General features: G+C 51.1%; 2 long non-coding RNA genes across 4 annotated transcripts; one reads left to right on the top strand and one right to left on the bottom strand.

Annotated features, from left to right (window-relative positions):
• Nucleotides 179-12,366, bottom strand: LINC01502 (long intergenic non-protein coding RNA 1502). 3 transcript variants are annotated; one of them, NR_034016.1, is made up of 6 exons: nt 12,197-12,366; nt 9,811-9,941; nt 9,517-9,657; nt 5,611-5,668; nt 4,282-4,355; nt 179-2,242 (listed from the first exon to the last, which is right to left on the bottom strand). It is a non-coding gene; the product is annotated as a long intergenic non-protein coding RNA 1502 (long non-coding RNA). The 3 variants fall into 3 exon arrangements; NR_034017.1 differs by lacking the exon at nt 9,517-9,657; NR_109814.1 differs by lacking the exons at nt 5,611-5,668; nt 9,517-9,657.
• Nucleotides 2,070-9,865, top strand: LOC105376316 (uncharacterized). The gene is made up of 2 exons (XR_930428.3): nt 2,070-2,398; nt 9,481-9,865. It is a non-coding gene; the product is annotated as an uncharacterized LOC105376316 (long non-coding RNA).
• Nucleotides 12,367-18,304: the final 5,938 nt, after the last annotated feature.

Below are 18,304 nucleotides of genomic sequence, written 5' to 3'. Positions count from 1 at the left end.
AGGATGGTGCACAGGCTGGGATCCAGCCCCATTGCCTGTACCTTCCTGTCCAGCTGGGACTCATGGGGCCTGGCTTCACTCTCCTTTGGGAAGGGCCTGGCCTTAGGACGCGCTGGAGCCAGTCTGAGCAGATACCCCCCACCTCCACCCCTCAGGCAACAAGCAGAGACCACAGAGGCAATATTAACAAGGTTTATGTGGGTCAGGGGAGCCCTGGGCTGTGTTGGGTGCTGGTCCAGTTGGGGATGCATGCTCTCGGGTAGGCTGGGATCTGGGCAGATGCATGGGCCGAGGTCCCTGGACATAGGTAGGATGTAGTGAGAGCTTGCGGAGGACAAGGGGCAGGACTGAGGACCCTGGGGCTGGGCTCAGGTCTCCACCAGCAGCCAGATGAAGAGGCTGCCTCCCAGATTCTGGGAGCCTGGTGCCAGGCAGGGGAAGAGGCTCCCTGAGGACTGAGAGCCAGCCATGGCTTCAGTGGCTTTCAAGATCCTGAATGCAGCCCACTGTGGCCACGCCTCCTCCCCCCAGCGCTACACAGCTCAGGGAGGGCCGTCGCGGAGCGGCTTCGGGGCAACCGTGCAGATGCCAGAGAGCAGCAGAGGCTACAGAAACGGAGGCCTTGGTGGCATGGCGGGGCCGAGAGTGCAGGATGCAGCCACTCCAGAAACTGGGAAAGCCAAGAAAGCGGCTTCTCCCCTTCCCAGAAGTCTCCAGAAGGAACCAGCCCCACCGACTGTTTCTAGACTTTTGACTCCAGAATTGTGAGACAATGCATGTGCGTTGTGTTCAGCTCCTGAGTCTGTGGTCATTTGTCACCGCAGCCCCTGGAGGTTTCTTTAATGGCTAAACACTCGTGGCCTCTGACAGGTGTGGAGGTTGGAAGTCCAAAGTGAGCCTCCCTGGCTACAGCCAAGGTGTCCGCAGCGCTGGCTCCTCCCGGAGGCTCCAGGGCAGGACTGGCTGGCCCTTCCCAGCTCCTTGACTGCCCGCCCGTGCCCCTGCTCACACCATGGCCCCTTCCTCGAGCCACTTGGAGCCCTCACCCTTCTGCCCCCGTCACCTTTCCCCCATGGCCAACCTCCACGGTGGCAGAGACGACATTTGAGCCATCACTGACTTCAGGGATTTGCACACAAGCCCACGGGTGGTTACTGAGTGTGGCACGTGGCTGGGGATGTCCCATGGGGATCCTGTGGCTTCCCGTGTGGCTGGGAGACCAGCCATGCCCTGGAGCTCCTACTGAGGGTGTGGAGGACCCAGAGGTGTCACCTGTAGGGGCGTGCACCTACAGAGGAGGACAGGGGGACAGTCCTGTCCACTCACTGCCCAGGCCCCGGTCTCTTCTCTCTTAGAAAGGAAAGCTGAGGACTGGAGGAGGGGAGGGGAGCTTCATGTCGTGAGAAGAGGAATCTTCGGCTCCTGGGGCCTGGGAGGGAAGATGGAGGAGGGTTTCAGCCTCTGCCCACCCCTCTGTAGGCACCGGGCAGGGATCTTCTGTTCCCAAACAGCAAGTAGGACTAAGGCTGTGGCCAGGGAGGGTGGACTTATTCAACAGAGGGCTTCCTACACCCTGAGACACAGAGCTTGGGACATGAAATCACACAGGGAGGTGGTGAAGCCTTCTCCCTTTTTCTGGAGTACATTGGCCTGGGTGGTGAGCTTAGGAGTGATTTTTGTTTGTTTGTTTTTGAAATGGAGTCTTGCTCTGTTGCCCAGGCTGGAGTGCAGTGGCGCGATCTCGGCTCACTGCAAGCTCCACCTCCTGGGTTCACGCCATTCTCCTGCCTCAGCCTCCCGAGTAGCTGGGATTATAGGCGCCTGCCGCCACACCTGACTAATATTTTGTATTTTTAGTAGAGACAGGGTTTCACCGTGTTAGCCAGGATGGTTTTGATCTCTTGACCTCGTGTTCTGCCTGCCTTGGCCTCCCAAAGTGCTGGGATTACAGGCATGAGCCACCGCGCCCGGCCATGAGTGATTTTTTGTTGTTGTTGTTCTTTTTCATGATCTTTTTTCCTCCTTATCTACAGCGACCACACTTGACTCATAGCAGACTCAAGGTTGTGGGATGTGTCGGATGCTGCGTGGCATTCAAGCACCCACAGGCAAGGAGGCTGCCAAGGTCGAGGGCTGCGGAGTCCCAGGGCCCATGAGTCCGGCCGGAGTCTGGTGTGGACACTCTGAACACACGCAGAGGCCTTGTGGCACTCACCTCAGTTACAGCCGACCACGCAGGAATCTAGAGAGAAAGACAGGCAGGGGGTCGCTTCCTCCCCAGGATGCTGAGGCTTCCCCAGTGTACACGGAGTGCCCCGGCTCAGTGTCAGCTGCAGCCCTTCATCCCCATGGGAAATGAACGTCCGGAGAAAAGCAGGAAAATGTGCTCATTACCAAGGTGAGTGGGGGTAAAGATCTTGCCTTTGCTTATGTTTTGGCTTTCTATAAACGCTTCTAAGATCATCAGGGCTTCTGGGTTTTCATGCAGGGTGTGGCCTGCAGGCAAAATGGGGTAGGGAGTCGGGAGAGGCAGGGTCCCCAGGCCCACGTAGGGCAGGGGAGCAGGGCCCCACTCTTCAGACCGGATGCTGACAGGTCTCCCAGGGCCTCTGGCCTCAGAGAGGACTTGCACTGCTGTCCCCGGGACCTGTCTACATATGTAGCAGCCCCAACCCCAGGCCAAACCATGGAGCAGGAGAGCCAAGGCCCCAAGGGTGAGCCCAGGACTCTGGGTGACACCCGAGCTGGCTCTGGCTAAGAAGAGGCCTTGGAAGAAGCCCTTGCCAGCCCAGCTCCAGGCTGGAAAAGAGGCCTGAGTATATCTGGGACCTGAGCAGAGGGGCCTCCTGTGTGGCTGACAGCACCCTGGGTGGTTCTCTTCTCCTTCCCTGAAGTCTCCATAGGAAGGGGTCCTACCAGGCCCCTCTACAGAGCAGAGAAGGGCTCTCCTGGGCTTGGGGATGCCCTGCCCCACTGCCGCACCTACTCCTTGAGGGACATTTGATTGCAGGGGTGGTGGGGGTGGGTGGGATAAGGTGGTGGGTGGGGTAAGGTGGGGGTGGCGAGGGTGGTGGGGTAAGGGGGGGGTGGTGGGGGTGGGTGGGGTAAGGTGGGGAATCAGGGGTCCTGCTGTCAATGATCCTTCCCCAGAATCAGCCCCCAGGCCCTCCTGAGAGGGACCCCGTCTCCCAGCCTGTTCTGCCAACCATGCAGACACTCATCCTGGAGGAGGGGGTCTTCCATGTACCCCTCACTTCCCCTATGACTCCTTGACCCAGCCTCTCCTGGTAGAGATGCTGCTTCCCAGGCCAGCAGCCCAGGGTCCCACATCACGGAGCCCTTGCCTGTCTCCTTGGACGCCACCCGCCAGGTGTGGCCCAGCGAGAGCCAGAGGGAACCGTGGGGGCTACACCCACATTGCCACAGAGACCTGGGCATGGCTGAGTTAGGGAGGACTCCAAGGGGCAGCGCCCCCGTCCACAGGCCCCCGTCCACAGGCCCCGTGACATCAGCGTGGACACGCGCCTGTCAGGTTCATTGTGTGCACGGCCGGGTCCCTCCTCTCATCCCGGGTGTTCATGATGTAGTAGTGGTCCGTCTCCACGGACAGATGCAGACCTCCTGCTCCCCCGCTGGGAGGGGCGGAGGATGTGCTCTTGTGAGCTGGGTGGTTGCGCCCTTTTTAAGTTGAGTCTATGAGTCTGAAATGCTAATAATTTCTGTCCCTCTATAGGAAATGGGAGGGGCCCCGAGTCAGAAGCTGAGAGCACTCGGGGAGGCAGGATGGTGGCAGTGAGTGGGTGAGCCCCAAGTGCATCTCCAGGCCGGTGAGAGTCCCCCCCAGATGCTGCTTCCTCCGCTCTGGCTGACGGAGGTCAGAGGGGTCAGATGCTGGCCTTGGACAGCTTCTCTGCAGGGCTGATGAAAACACAGCTTCCGGGATGCCACAGAGGCCACTGGACTCTGCCAGGGCCCGGCGAGGAGAACGTGCCTTGTAAATGACTCCAAAATGCCAGGGAGGGACCACGGGCCCAGGAAATGCTGTCCATGGGACCCAGGGATGGGCTGAGTCCTTCTTTCCCTGTGTAATAAGTGGGGATCAGGCGGAGGGCACAGGACCCCAGGAGGGCTGAGTGCCTGCCCTGGAGGCTGGCGGAGGTGAGTCAGCACAGCCTGCCAGGAGCTGCTGGATGGGTGTCCGCGTGCCCCCAGGGCTGGTGGCCAGATGCTGGAGTGTGGGAGCTGCTGGGACTGTGGCTCTGCTGCCTGGCAGCTACTCACAGATTCTGTACGTGGTAGAGTTGTCTGTTTTCACCAGCAGTGTCTTAAATACTGTGCAGTTCCCAGTGGGATCCCTGGAAGGAAAAATCGGAGAAAGTCATTGCTGCCCCCAGACCCATTTCTGACTCTTCTTAGCTGGGTTCTTCCAAGCAGGGGTCCCAACCCCCACGGCACCAGTCCATGGCCTGTTAGGAGCCAGGCCACGAAGCAGGAGGTGAGCGGCAGGTGAGCCAGCGAAGCTTCATCTGTTTACAGCCAGTCCCCATTGCCTGCATGGCCGCCGGAGCCTCCTGTCGGATCAGCGGGGCCATTAGATTCTCATAGGAGCGCACACCCTACTGTGAACTGCACGGGCAGGGATCCAGGTTGCATGCCCCTTATAGGAATCGAATGCCCGATGACCTGTCATTGTCTCCCATCACCCCCAGATGGGACCGTCCACTTGCAGGAAAACAAGCTCATGGCTCCCACTGATTCTACATGACAGTGCACTGCATCATATTTCATGACACATTACAATGTAATAATAATAGAAATAAAGTGCACAGCAAATGAAACATGCTTGAATTATCCTGAAACCATCCTTCATCCCCCGGGCCATGGGAAAATTGTCTTCCATGAAACCGATTCCTGGTGCTAAAAAGGTTGGAGCCACTGCTCCCAAGAAATGCACTGCGATGTCTCTGCCAAGGAGAGCGAACCCCCTCTGCTCCATTCATCTTGATGGACTCCTGCTGCTGACCAGCGCAGGGAGGTGCTCATGGTCCACCTGCCCCGACCACTGCCAGCCTCTGCTGACCCCACTACAGGCACCGAGGACCCTGGCCAGTGAAGATGGCAGCACCTGACATTCACCCACAGGCACAGCGCCATCTCAACCTACATGTTCACCAGGGTTCCTGATGATCAGCACGTGGAAACTCCAAGGCTGCTGAACTTGACCTAGAGAAAACACTGATTCCCCTGAAGCTGAGCAGAAACCATTGGCCAATCTACACGATCACCCTCACCCATCTCCACCACGCTTCACTCATCTCCACTGCGCTTCACCCATCTCCACCTCACTTCCCCCATCTCCACTGTGCTTCACCCATCTCCACCGTGCTTTCTGCAGCCAGGAGCATGCTGGGTTGGAGGAACCGCTATCTCCACTGTCTTCATATTTTAACCTTTTTGGCACCAGGGACTGGTTTCATGGAAGACAATTTTTCCACGGAGCAGGGTAGACAGGTGTGGTTTCAGGATGATTTACGCGCATTCCTTGGATTGTGCACTTTATTTCTACTATGATTCCATTGTCATATATAATGGAAGAATTCTACAACTCACCATAGTGTAGAATCGGTGGGAGCCCTGAGCTCATTTTCCTGCAACTGGACTGTCCCATCTAGGGGGTATGGGAGACAGCGACAGATCATCAGGCATTAGATTCTCATCAGGAGCTTGCAACCCAGATCCCTCACATGCGCAGGTCACAGTAGGGTCCCCGCTCCGGTGAGAATCACCCACCAGAGCATTTGTGTTTCTGCTTCTTGTTCCTTCTCTATGTCTCCAACTTTCCCCCATGGCCTCGCAACAGCCACGGGCCCACAGTGCCACACACGGTAAGATATCTGATAGGTGGCTCAAACATCCTGGACTTGTTCCTCTTTCTTCTTGTACTTTTTAGGCATCCATCCCTAACTCTAACCCACACCAGGGGCAGCCTCTGTGTCTTCGAGGGACACCTGGATCCCTGTTCAGGCAAAGGGGCCTGGCTGCCTCTCCACACTCCTACTCCTCACTCAGCACGCGGCTCCAAGCGCGCCTCCTCCAAGGAGTCTTCCCTGGATCGGGCAGGGCCAGGTCCCTTTGGGGTGCACCTGCATCAGCACTCAGGCTCCTGGAGGCATCCATCTGCCCCTGTCCTGAGGCATGGTGGAAATGGCAGGGCAGCTTTTGCCAGCTTTCCAGTCTCCAGCCCACTGCTGGCCACAGGGGAGGCTCCAAGGTGTTTGTGGATGAAAGCGAATGAGTTGCCAGCAAAGTTGCAAAATCCAATGCAGCGTTCATGTTTCTCCCTGGACTCCCCGGACTCTGAAGAAGGCCCTGGGTGTGTCATCTCTGCCTCTAGCCCCAGTGCATCAGAGCAGTGCCCCATGGTTGACAGTGCTGAGCTGCGTGGACCTCCTTAGGGCCAAAGGCTGGGGTGCAAGGGCTGGCAAGCTCAGCTGGATGCTTGGGGACACTTGGTCTCTGGGCATCTCCAAGAAACATACATTTAATACCTGGGTGCAGACAAGGCTGTTGAGAATCTTGTGCCCCTAGGATTTGGGCTGGGGCCTTGATGTAAAGCGAGGGAGGGAAAAAGTCACCTGACACCCAGTGTGAGCCCTCTGGCTGTGACACTCACTCTTCCCAGAAAACGCTGTTCCTCCGTTTCCCCGCTTCACAGGTGTCCACCGCCCCTCCCTTGTCTGCAGGGAGCGCAGTCTCAAGGTAAAGTGAGCACACCTGTGTCTGATCGTGGTCACATTGGCTGCTTTCTGTGTGACCTTGAACACAGAACACCACCTTCCTGAACCTCTGTATTCTCACTTTCAGGACAAAAATATCGCTCTCATAAGAGGGTTTATGAAGGCGAGGGTTGCAGGAAAATGCTTCCTCTATGTTTTAGTTAAGTCTCTGGGGTTCTTTGGGCCTGTTATTTTCTGGTTTGGTTCTCACACAGTGAAATTCTACACATGGTCTTGAAGCTTCCAGCTGTCTCATTAGCAATGCTAGCTGGGGACCTTTCACAGGTGCAAGAGGGAACTTCGTTCTGAGAGGCTATTTGCAGGAAACTATTAGCTAAATGCTAAAACCATTCACAAGAATAAAACACTAACAGTGGGTCCAGATGGAGAAGCTCATGTGGATAGTTGCACCTGTAACCAGACACAGCTGGGCTTCAGTGGTTTGCTTCGGGGCACAGTGACCTACAGGAAGGTAGGGACTGCTGTATGTGTGCATTTTGCTGCTGTATCCACAGAGTCTAGAATGGTGCACTACCTGATCACCATGCCATGAATATTTGTTGGTAAATAAATGGATGGACAATGGATAATGAAAGGGTGGATGGTGGATGAATAGATAGTGAATGGGGGATAATGGAAGGGTGGATGGTGGATGGATAGTGAATGGGGGATAATGGAAGGGTGGATGGGTGAGAGATTGGGGATGAGGGTAGATGGATAGTGGGTGGATGATTGTGGGTGGATAGATGAATAGAAGGATGGATAAATAGTGGATGATGGACGGATTTATGGATGAATGAATGAGCGGTGGATGGATTATGGATAGATGAATGGGGAAGCAGAGAGGTGGATGAATGGCTGGATGAATAGGTAAATAATGGATGGAAGAATGGATGGATGGAAGATGGGGGATGTAAGTCAATGAATGATAGATGGATGAAGGTGTGGATAGATGGATGGATGGGTGGAAGATAGACAGTGGGTGGTGAATTGGGTGTGAATGGATGACAAGTGGACTCATGATGGTAAGAGGGGTATGTATGGCTGGATAGATGAATGGACTGATTATGGTTGGATTATGGTGAATAAATGGATGGTGTATGGTTGAATGGAAGGATGAATGATGGATGCATATGTGGGTTGATAGATAAATTAATGGATGAATGGGTGGATAGATGGTGGATGGGTGGATGTATGCATGGATGGTAGATGAATGAATACTGGTTGGGGAATGGGTGAAAGATGGATGATGGAGTGGATGAATAAATCGTGGGTGAATGGGGGTGTGAATAGATGAAGAGGTGGCCAAATGGCTAGATGGATGGGTGGAAGATAAATGGTGGATGGATGGTGGATGAATTGATGGTGGTGAAGGGGGAATGAATGGTAGATGAATGAATGGAGGATAGATGATAAATGCATGTATATATCCATAAATGGATGAATGAATAAATAATGGAATAAATGGATGAATGGATGGATTGGTGGGTGGTGGGTGAATGAATGGTGGATAGATTGATGGATGAATAGGTGGGAGGATGGGTGAATGATTGCATGGGTGAATGGATGGATGGATGGTTGGTTGGGTGGATAAATGGGTGTGTGTATGGATTGATAGATGGGTAGATGGATGGAGGAATGGATGGATGGGTGGATGAATGATTAAATGGAATGAATGGCTGGATGGATGAATGGATGGATGCAGGGGTGAATGAGTGGGTGATTGAGTAGACAGATGGACAGGTGAATGGGTGGGTGGATGGATGGTGGATGGATAGATGAATGAATAGATGGAAGGGTGGGTGAATGGGTGAATGGATGGGTGGGTGAGTGGGTGGCAGGTGAATGAATAGTGGATAGATTGATGGATGAATAGGTGGGAGGATGGGTGAATGATTGCATGGGTGAATGGATGGATGGATGGTTGGTTGGGTGGATAAATGGGTGTGTGCATGGATTGATAGATGGGTAGATGGATGGAGGAATGGATGGATGGGTGGATGAATGATTAAATGGAATGAATGGCTGGATGGATGAATGGATGGATGCAGGGGTGAATGAGTGGGTGATTGAGTAGACAGATGGACAGGTGAATGGGTGGGTGGATGGATGGTGGATGGATAGATGAATGAATAAATGGAAGGGTGGGTGAATGGGTGAATGGATGGGTGGGTGAGTGGGTGGCAGGTGAATGAATAGTGGATAGATTGATGGATGAATAGGTGGGAGGATGGGTGAATGATTGCATGGGTGAATGGATGGATGGATGGATGGATGGATGGTTGGGTGGATAAATGGGTGTGTGTTTTGATAGATAGATGGGTGGAGGAATGGATGGATGGGTGGATGAATGATTAAATGGAATGAATGGATGGATGGATGAATGGATGGATGCAGGTGTGAATGAGTGGGTGATTGAGTGGATGGATGGACAGGTGAATGGGTGGGTGGATGGATGGTGGATGGATAGATGAATGAATAGATGGAAGGGTGGGTGGATGGGTGAGTGGATGGGTGGGTGGGTGGTAGATGAAAAGCCCACAGAATGAAACTTTGACTCTTAGAACATCTCCTATTAATTAGCTGCCACAGGTAATAAAGGTTTGTAACACCAAAGGCACTAAAATTACCATCCTTATGTTAGGCAAAGAGGTCTTTCACAGCATACATGCGTAATCTCCTACCAGACTTTATTGTTTTACAGGAAAAACAATAAACCCATGGCTGCTGGACTTCTCACCTTACAGAAGTGCCTGTGAGAGATTGTGGTGAGGTGCTTGGGGCAGGAAGGTCCTGGGCTGAGCCCAGAGCCTGAGCAAGCCCTCCGTGTGTGGCGTTCTTCAGCACATGATCCAGTTAAAAAGGGACCTGCTGACTGAAACTGTTAGAAGCCGGAAAGGTGGACTCCAAAGTGGCTGCAGCCTGGTGAAGAAGAGTGGCCAGTGACCTCCTTTCCATCAGCCCAGGGCCTGGATGGCAGCGAGAGCCTGAGAAGCTCCCTCGCTCACCCCACGTGTCCCCACCAGGCACTCACCTTACATTCATTTTTAACATAAAGTTACCCTGGAAACGCTGGATCCAGAATGGTGGCAGAGGGTGAGCCGTCTCCTCTTTAAGTAGCTCCCTGTCCTGCTCCCAGCGCAGGGCGTGCCACAGTCCTTCCACCTATAGGGAGATGCCATAGTCACTGGAGCGTAGGGAGGGAGGCCAAGCCTTTCCCGTCTCCCCCAACATTTCAGCAGACACCACTGCTGCATGACACAAATTTCTGAGGATGTGGGAATTAACCGTGAAATGGTTGAGGGTGGAAGAAGGAATAAGAGGGAAAGAGGCTGGGCGCTATGGCTCATGCCTGGAATCCCAGCATTTTGGGAGGCTGAGGTGGGAGGATCGCTTGAGCCCAGGAATTCAAGACCATCCTGGCCAACAAAGTGAGACTCCTGTCTCTATAAAAAAAATACAAAAATGAGCTGGGTATGGCGGGATGTGCCTGTAGTCCCAGCTGCATGGGAGACTAAGGCAGGAGGGCTGCTGGAGCCCAGGAGTTTGAGGCTGCAAAGAGCCATGTTTGAGCCATGGGTGACACTCTAGCCTGGGTGACAGAGTAAGACCCCATCTCAAAGAGAGACAGAGAGGGAGAGAGATAGAGAGAGGGACAGAAAGAGAGAGAGAAAGAAATGGCAGTGGAAGAGGGTGTGGGGTTTTGTTGCAAAGCAAACTAGACAGAGATATTCAAGGGGCAGTCAGGAGTCCTGGTCCCTGATAGCCCCACATCCGTCAGCAGAAGGGGAGCCAGGCCAGAGGCTGGGACAGGGGCCCTCTTGTGAGGCCTGAAGGATCAGGGCAAACCTTAATGTTGGGGGATGAGACAGGAAGACATCCAGGGGCCAAAGGGGCTAGAGCTCACGTGTCGACCGGTCAAGAGTCAGCAACATGCCGTGGCGCTGGCTGAGCCCAGCTCATCTTGTGACCACAGCCATGGCTGCTGCGTGTGAACAGCCCACAGGTGACCAGCGCTGCTTCCTTCCCCTGCTTGTCCCCGGTGCCTCTGAGCATGAGACTCGACAGCATTCTCCCCAAAGCAAGCAGCAGTCAGTCCCGCCCTGGGCATGCAGGCCTTGGGCCTGGCCACTCGTGTCTGTTCTCGCAGTGCAAGCTCCCGCCTCCCTTGGGTCGCACGCTGCTGGACTGTGGCGTCTCTGGGGCACAGGTGTGGACTTCCCAGGCCCAAAAGCCACAGATGAGCATTGGGTTGAAAGAGCGAGTCCCTGAGACCTGGGGAGGGGACCGAGGCCATGGAGGAGGTGGGAATGCAGGTGAGGCAGTGGGGAGAGGTCCTCAGGCCCCGGGGGGAGGAGAGTGTGGCCAGAGGCCGAGCGGCTCTCAGAGAAGGGAGGGAGGCTCTGTGGAGCAGGAATCCTGGACACAGCTGTGGGGGCCCAGGTGCCGGGGGGCCTGGTCCACCAGCCTGAGCACCAGGAGCTCCTGTGTCCAGGCCACATCAGCCCAACCAGAGGCCCAAAAGTCTCAAGAAGTCAAGGCCGTGGCGACCCCTGGGGATGTTAGGACCAGACGTCTGGGCACTTGCCGCCCTTAAGTCTTTTCTCTAATAATGCCACAAACTTGTAAAAGTCATTTAATCTTGACAAGAACTTGTGGGGTTTTGTTTGGCTGTTCGGTTGTTTTTGAGACTGAGTCTTGCTTTTTTTGACTAGACTGGAGGCCTCCGCCTCCCGGGTTCCAGTGATTCTCCTGCCTCAGCCTCCCGGGTAGCTGGGATTACAGGCATGTGCCACCACGCCCAGCTAATTTTTGTATTTTTAGTAGAGACGGGGTTTCACCATGTTGGCCAGGCTGGTCTTGAACTCCTGACCTCAGGTGATCCACCTGCCTCGGCCTCCCAAAGTGCTGGGATTACAGGCGTGAAACACTGTGCCCGGCCAAGAATGGATTTTATATGACCCCCGATGTGTTGCCCTTGCAAAATGAAAACTCAGAAAAGGGGGATTCCCCACAGCTTCTACCAAACCTGAGCTCCCCAGGGGGAGACGCTGTCTCTGGGAGATGAAGGTACTCAACAAAAACCTCCCCAAACCCTGGCCCTGGGAGAGGCTGGGTGAGCTGGGGTGGGATCTTCACCTCACCAAGATGCCCGTTGGCCTCTGAGCAGTCACCCCGCAGTGGAGACACCAGTTCTGCCTACAGGAGTGAGTTTGCCCAGGCACTGCTTGGCACCCCCTTCTCTACCCAGGGGACGCCACCAAAGGCACAAGGGGGACCCTTCAGCTGACGATGTCCCCCGGGGTTTGGGTCACTGCTGTGCGACGGGTGTGAGGCTGGGCATCCGGTCCAGGGTCTGGAGACCGTGGCCCGGGAAGTGGCTCTTGTGTGTGCCCACCTCACCCTCCCGAAGCTCTCACCTTCTCAGCGGGGACAGGAACCATCTGGGTCCCCTGGGCTCACAGCATGGAAAGCAGGCTCAGCCCAAGGGTCCGCATTAGTGGCTGCATCGTGGCTGTGGCCCTGTGTCAGCTCCGGGCTTGCACTGCCAGGCTGGCTGTAGCGACTCTGGCTCTCTCTGGTTGTCCATTTATTCCCTGACTCTGGGCTGACTGGGAACTGGGTGAGTTTCCAACTCACTTGTTTTTCACAATGGCCGCGGACCATCCCAGCAGGGGTGGGGCCATGCTGGAAAAACACTGACCATTCCGTAAAGCATCCTGTTTGTCCATCTTGGACCCTGTTTTCCTAAAGCTTCACCTCAAGAGAGAATGTCACCAAAGCAGGACGAGTGAAAAGGTTTCTTAGAACAACAACAAATACATGGTCTGCTGACTCCTCCTCAGCCCCTCGTGTCTGGCTGTGCTGCTGGCTGCAAATCTATCCCCGTCACTGGCACGTGGTTCCATGAGGATGTGAGCAGTGACAGCTCCACCACTGCACCCAGGACCCGCTGAACCCTGAGCAGAGTGCGTCACAGCCACGTCAGCCCTGAACCCACAACCAGCAGAGGCAGTGTCTGCCTGCCCCTTCCTGACCGGCTTCTCAGCCCCAGGCCCCGAGGCCCCGTGTCCGCCTGCCCCTTCCTGACCGGCTTCTCAGCCCCAGGCCCCAAGGCCACGTCTGTGCTTCCCAGGGAAGGCTTTTCTTGGATTCTGCTTTCCTCTCTCACCTTCCTCCCCCGATTCTGACTATCTCCCTTTCCCGCCCTCCATCTCTCTCCATGCCAAAATGGCTCCTGTTTTTGTTCCTCTTCTGGGGGATCTCAGCCTCTCCTGGTGTCTTGGGCACCCTTTCTTGACTTCCAAAGCTTCATCCTGGATGTGCATCTCCTAAATTCTAGGTTCTTGTATGTAGCTGCCAAATGGACACCTCCCTCCTGATGCCCCACAGCTCTGACCTTCAGGACACCTCTGAACAAGGCCACACCTCTACAAATACCCCTGGGTGTCACCAACAATATTTCCATCTTCCTCCAGTTGGCCTTTCCATTTTGCCTGTAACTTATGACTCATCTTTCAGACCTAAGTCCTCCTGTCCAATCTCCCTGCCATTTCTCTATTCCCCAACTTCATTAGTGTTTTAAAAATAGGTACACTGCGGCCGGGAGTGGTGGCTCACGCCTGTAATGCCAGCACTCTGGGAGGCCAAGGTGGGTGGATCACGAGGTCAGGAGATTGAGACCATCCTGGCTAACATGGTGAAACCCCGTCTCTACTAAAAATACAAAAAAGTAGCCATGGGTGGTGGTGGGCACCTGTAGTCCCAGGTACTTGGTAGGCTGTGGCAGGAGAATGGCGTGAGGCCAGGAGGCGGAGCTTGCAGTGAGCCGAGATGGCACCACTGCACTCCAGCCTGGACGACAGAGCGAGACTCCATCTCAAAAAAAAAAAAAAAAGAAAAAGAAAAAGAAAAAGAAAAAGAAAAAGAAAAAAAAAGGTACATTGCTTGATGCACCTCCTAGTGGGCTCCCCTTCAGCCCCATCTGTTGAACTCTTACAGATTCTGGATATGCAGTGGATGGATGGGTGGTTAAATGGGTAAATGGATTGATAATTGGATGGGATGGATGAATGGGTAGATGCATGAATGATTGGATGGAATGAATAAATGGATGAATGGATGGATGGGTAGATGTATGGATGATCAGATAAAATAAACGGATGGATGGATGGATGGATGGATGGATGGGTGGGTGGATGGATGGATGGATGGATGGATGGGTGGATGGGTGGGTGGATGGATGGATGGGTAGATGAATGGATGGGTAGCCAGATGATTAGATGGAATGAATGAATGAGTGGATGGATGGATGGATGGGTCAATGGACAGATGACTGTGTGGAATTGAGGCAGGAAAGTAATAAAAGGAATTGGAAGTTGGATAAAAGGCAGAATGAGTAAAAGCAGAGAGCAGAAGCTAGGCAAAGGGATGGGTGAGCAAGAAGCAAGACAGGAGACAGAAACTGAGCAGCCAAACAAAAGTAAGATAAAAAAGCAAGTAAAGAAACTCTATGGCTAGCAAGATCTGGACCAAACCAGTAAGGGGCAGCTCCTCAAAGATAGGCATGCACAGTAGAGAGAAAAAGTATCCTTATCATGACCCCGTATTATAATCAGCTCATTAAAGCTCATGCATATGGACTGCATATCATTTATGTACTTAAAATTTTGGGATAGAGGCAACAAGCAAGTGCACAAGGGCCAAATAACTAAGCAACCAACCTATTAATCAAAAGGCAGATGTTGGCTAAAGATTAGGCAGCCTTGGGAAGAAAAGAAAAAAAAACACATATAAAAAGACCCAAAGTATACCAAACTAATGCTGATCTCATCTTGCAGAGGTCAGCCCACTCTCCCCTCTCTCAGAGTGCTACTGTGCTTAATAAACTTTTGCTGCTTGCTTTGCTATTTGTGTGTGCCACATCAAATTATCTGTTCAGGACACCAAGAGCCTGTAACTGCACAGCACCATCCGGTAACAGAATGAATGGATAGATGAATGGATGATTGGATGGAATGGATAGATAAGTGAATAGATGGATGGATGGATGGATGGATGGATGGATGAATGGGTAGATGGATGGATGATTAGATGGATAGATGGATTGGCAGATGGATGGATGGTGGATGGGGGTAGAGAGGTGGTGAATGGATGGATGGAAGGGTAGATGGACGGGTGGATAATTGGATATAATGGATATTGTAGGTTGATGTATGCATAAATGGATGGGTGGAGGGATGGATGAATGGTGGATGGCTTCATTTACTCATATTGAATAGGTCATTTATCTTCTCACTTTCATGACTTCTCCAGCTTGCCAAGGTGCTTTCATGTTCAGTATCACTTTTGACTCCTCCTATGGCTTCCATTCCTTCCAATCATCCATTCATTCACCCGTGTACCATCCATCCACAACCCTTCCATCCATCCATCCATCCATCCATCCATCCATCCATCCTTCCATCATTCTTTCTCTCAAACACCATTTTTGGTGCCATGTGACCTGTTTTCGTAGTCACTGCTATTTCCACATTGCCTCAGTGGAGGTGGCAAGAATGAGATGTCATTGCGCCAAGTACCTGATTTTTCCGATTGCCTGCTCCACCCTGACTACATTCTGATTACCTGCTCTGTCATAACCATTTTTCACACCAAACCACTCACCCCATCACTCTCTTTAAATTAGCCAGTTGGAATTAGTTTACCCTGTGTGGTCTAACCCTAGCCAATAGCGGAACGACACAGCAGCAGGGGCCACATGTGTCAGGGATAAGAACGCCTTCCCCTCCCTTGTCCAGGTGTGTGCCCACCATTGCTCCATCTATAAGGGCGCGCCCTTCTATAGAAGTAACTTGCCTTGCTGAGAATTGAAAAGGGAATTTTATATTCAAGTGTTATTTCTTTTGTGGCACCAAATCTTTATTTATAACAACTGAATAGCACAAATAATATCTAATTTCCTTAATATATAAAGAGCTCCTACAAGTCAATAGAAAAACTCCAAGAACTCAATAGACAAAGGATATGATTTAATTCTTCATGGAAAAAAATGCAAATGCCTCTCAAACATGTAAAAATAGGAGAATATTCCATGCAGTAACAGCAAAATACACATTCTTTTACAAGGATAAATTTATCAAGAGAATCTGTGAATGCAGTGAATCACAGAGTTTTATAAGGCATGGAGCAGACGCTGATATAACTGAAAGGAGAATCGTATAACTCCACAGTAGTAGCTGGAGACTGCAACTCTCCCTGTTCAGTAACAAAGAAAAAGTTGACGGAACATAAAGATATAGAAAGCTTGGTCATTGTCTCAACCAATTAACTATCAACCACCTAACACTGGTTACACATTCTTTCCAAGAGCACACAGAACATTCGGCAAGGGAGATTGTATCCTGGACCATAAAACCAGTTCCCCCAAATTTAAGAAAATTGAAATCATACGAATTGTATTTTTGTCAAATAGAAATCAATAGCAAAAAGATGTAGGGAAAATCTGCAGATGTTTGGTGATGAAGCTGTCCATCAAAGAAACTGATGAGACAAGTCTCAATCATTTTAGGAAATTTATTTGCCAAAATTAAGGATGCACCCAGGAGACAGGTCTATGCCTTTCTCTGAAGATGATTTTAAGTGCTCCAAATGTAAAGGGGAAAGGGTGGGATATTGAGAAACACACAGTTTTCATATAAACGGAAGGGGAGGGGCAGAGGAAAAATGTGGGGAATCTGCATTTTACATAAGATAACACAGACACAATGGGGCAGCAGAAACAATCAGATATGTATTTGTGTCTGGCTGGCTGGGGTGACTGCACCTGCAAAGATAAGCTGACAATTTGCATCGCCATGGCTCACCAGGAATTTCCTTGTGGGCAAAATAGGGGGAGGTGGGTAGCCTTTCATCTTGTAGCCAATCTTCTTTAGTAACCGAAGTGGGGAGGCAGCCTTTTGTGACTCAGTTCTCAGGGTGACTTTTCCCTTTGGCTAAATGAGTTTGGGGTCCCAAATTTAATTTCCTTTTACAAAACAAACCACATTTAAGTAGCCAAAGGATGAATTTCACAAGGAAAATCAGAAAATATTTTGAGTTGAGAAAAAATGAAAACAAAATATGGCTAGGTGTGGTGGCTCCTGCCTGGAATCCCAGCTCTTTGGGAGGCTGAGGTGGGAGGATTATCTTAGCCCAGGGGTTTGAGACCAACTGGGCAACATGGCAAGACCCCATCTCTAAGAAAATAAATAAATTTTTAAAAATGTTATAAAAGAAAATATATTAAAATATGTGGGATGAACTAAAGCAGTACTTTGGAGAAAATTTATAGCATTAAATGTTTATATTCAATGACATAAACATCCTCCATTCAGCAATCTGAGCTAGCATCTGAGTAACTAGAAAAAGAATTGTCTAAAACAAAGCAGGCAGGAGGAAATAAACACTCAATATAATAGCTGAAATCAGTGAAATAGAAAACAGAAAAACAATAGAGAAATCAATGAAACTGAAAGCTGGTTTGATCTTCAAAAAGATTAATGAAATGGATAAATCTCAAGCCAGACTAATCAGGAAAATCAGACAGCTGACACCAATGATTACTCTCAGGAATAAGGAAAGGGGACACCATTACAGACCCTATGGACATTACAAGGATAAAAAGAAAATACTTTGAATAACTTGATGAAAATAATTTTGAAAACTTGGACAAAATGGATAAATTCCTGGAAATATACAAAGGGTCAAGCTTATTAAAGAAGCAATGGATCACCAGAATTGACCTTACGAAATGGAATTTGTAGACACAAATTTTCCTAACCACCCTCCCCTTGTACCACCCTCCCCACAACAAGATCTCAAACCCCAGTTGGCTTCACTGGTAAATCCTACCATTTGAGAAAGGAACAATACCTTTCAAAAACTCTCCCATAAATTGCAAACAGATGGACATTCCCTAACTCATCTTATGAGGCAAGCGTTACACTGATACCAACTAGTTACATACTATTTCCTACATAAGACATTCTTTGCTACTGAATTGAAATAATTCCCTTATCAACCATTAAATTTCTACAATGACTATGATGTCTTCTAGACACTATTTTGTTCCTCCTGTCTTTTTGTTTTGTTTATTCCAGTCACCATGAAAACCCTGTATCCCCCTTATCCTCTAGTGACTATAAATGGCAAGGGCTTGGCTACTCCTAAGCCCCAAGTTACGGCATTATCCTTTCCTGTCTCCCTAAGGATACACCTCCGTATGTGAGTCCTCCCTCAACTATCTACTTCCTGTGTGCTCTCTGTTTCATACTGGGCTCTGACTGATAGAACACTAATATCATTACTAACATGGATGTGACTACTGGGTTGAAGTAAGGATTTCTTGGCAATGCCTTTTGCTCTAGAATATACTCCAAAAGAGACCAAAGTGTGAATAAACTGGGGTACCATCAGAGAAAACGAGATGCCAGGGTCTCTCTGCAGGCCCTGGCAGCAGGCAGCTAGGTAGTTGTCATGTAGCACAA

The sequence above is a fragment of the Homo sapiens genome, chromosome 9 (genome assembly GCF_000001405.40).
Source record: "Homo sapiens chromosome 9, GRCh38.p14 Primary Assembly".
Lineage (NCBI taxonomy): Eukaryota > Metazoa > Chordata > Mammalia > Primates > Hominidae > Homo > Homo sapiens.
This window is presented reverse-complemented; position numbering and strand designations above follow the sequence as displayed.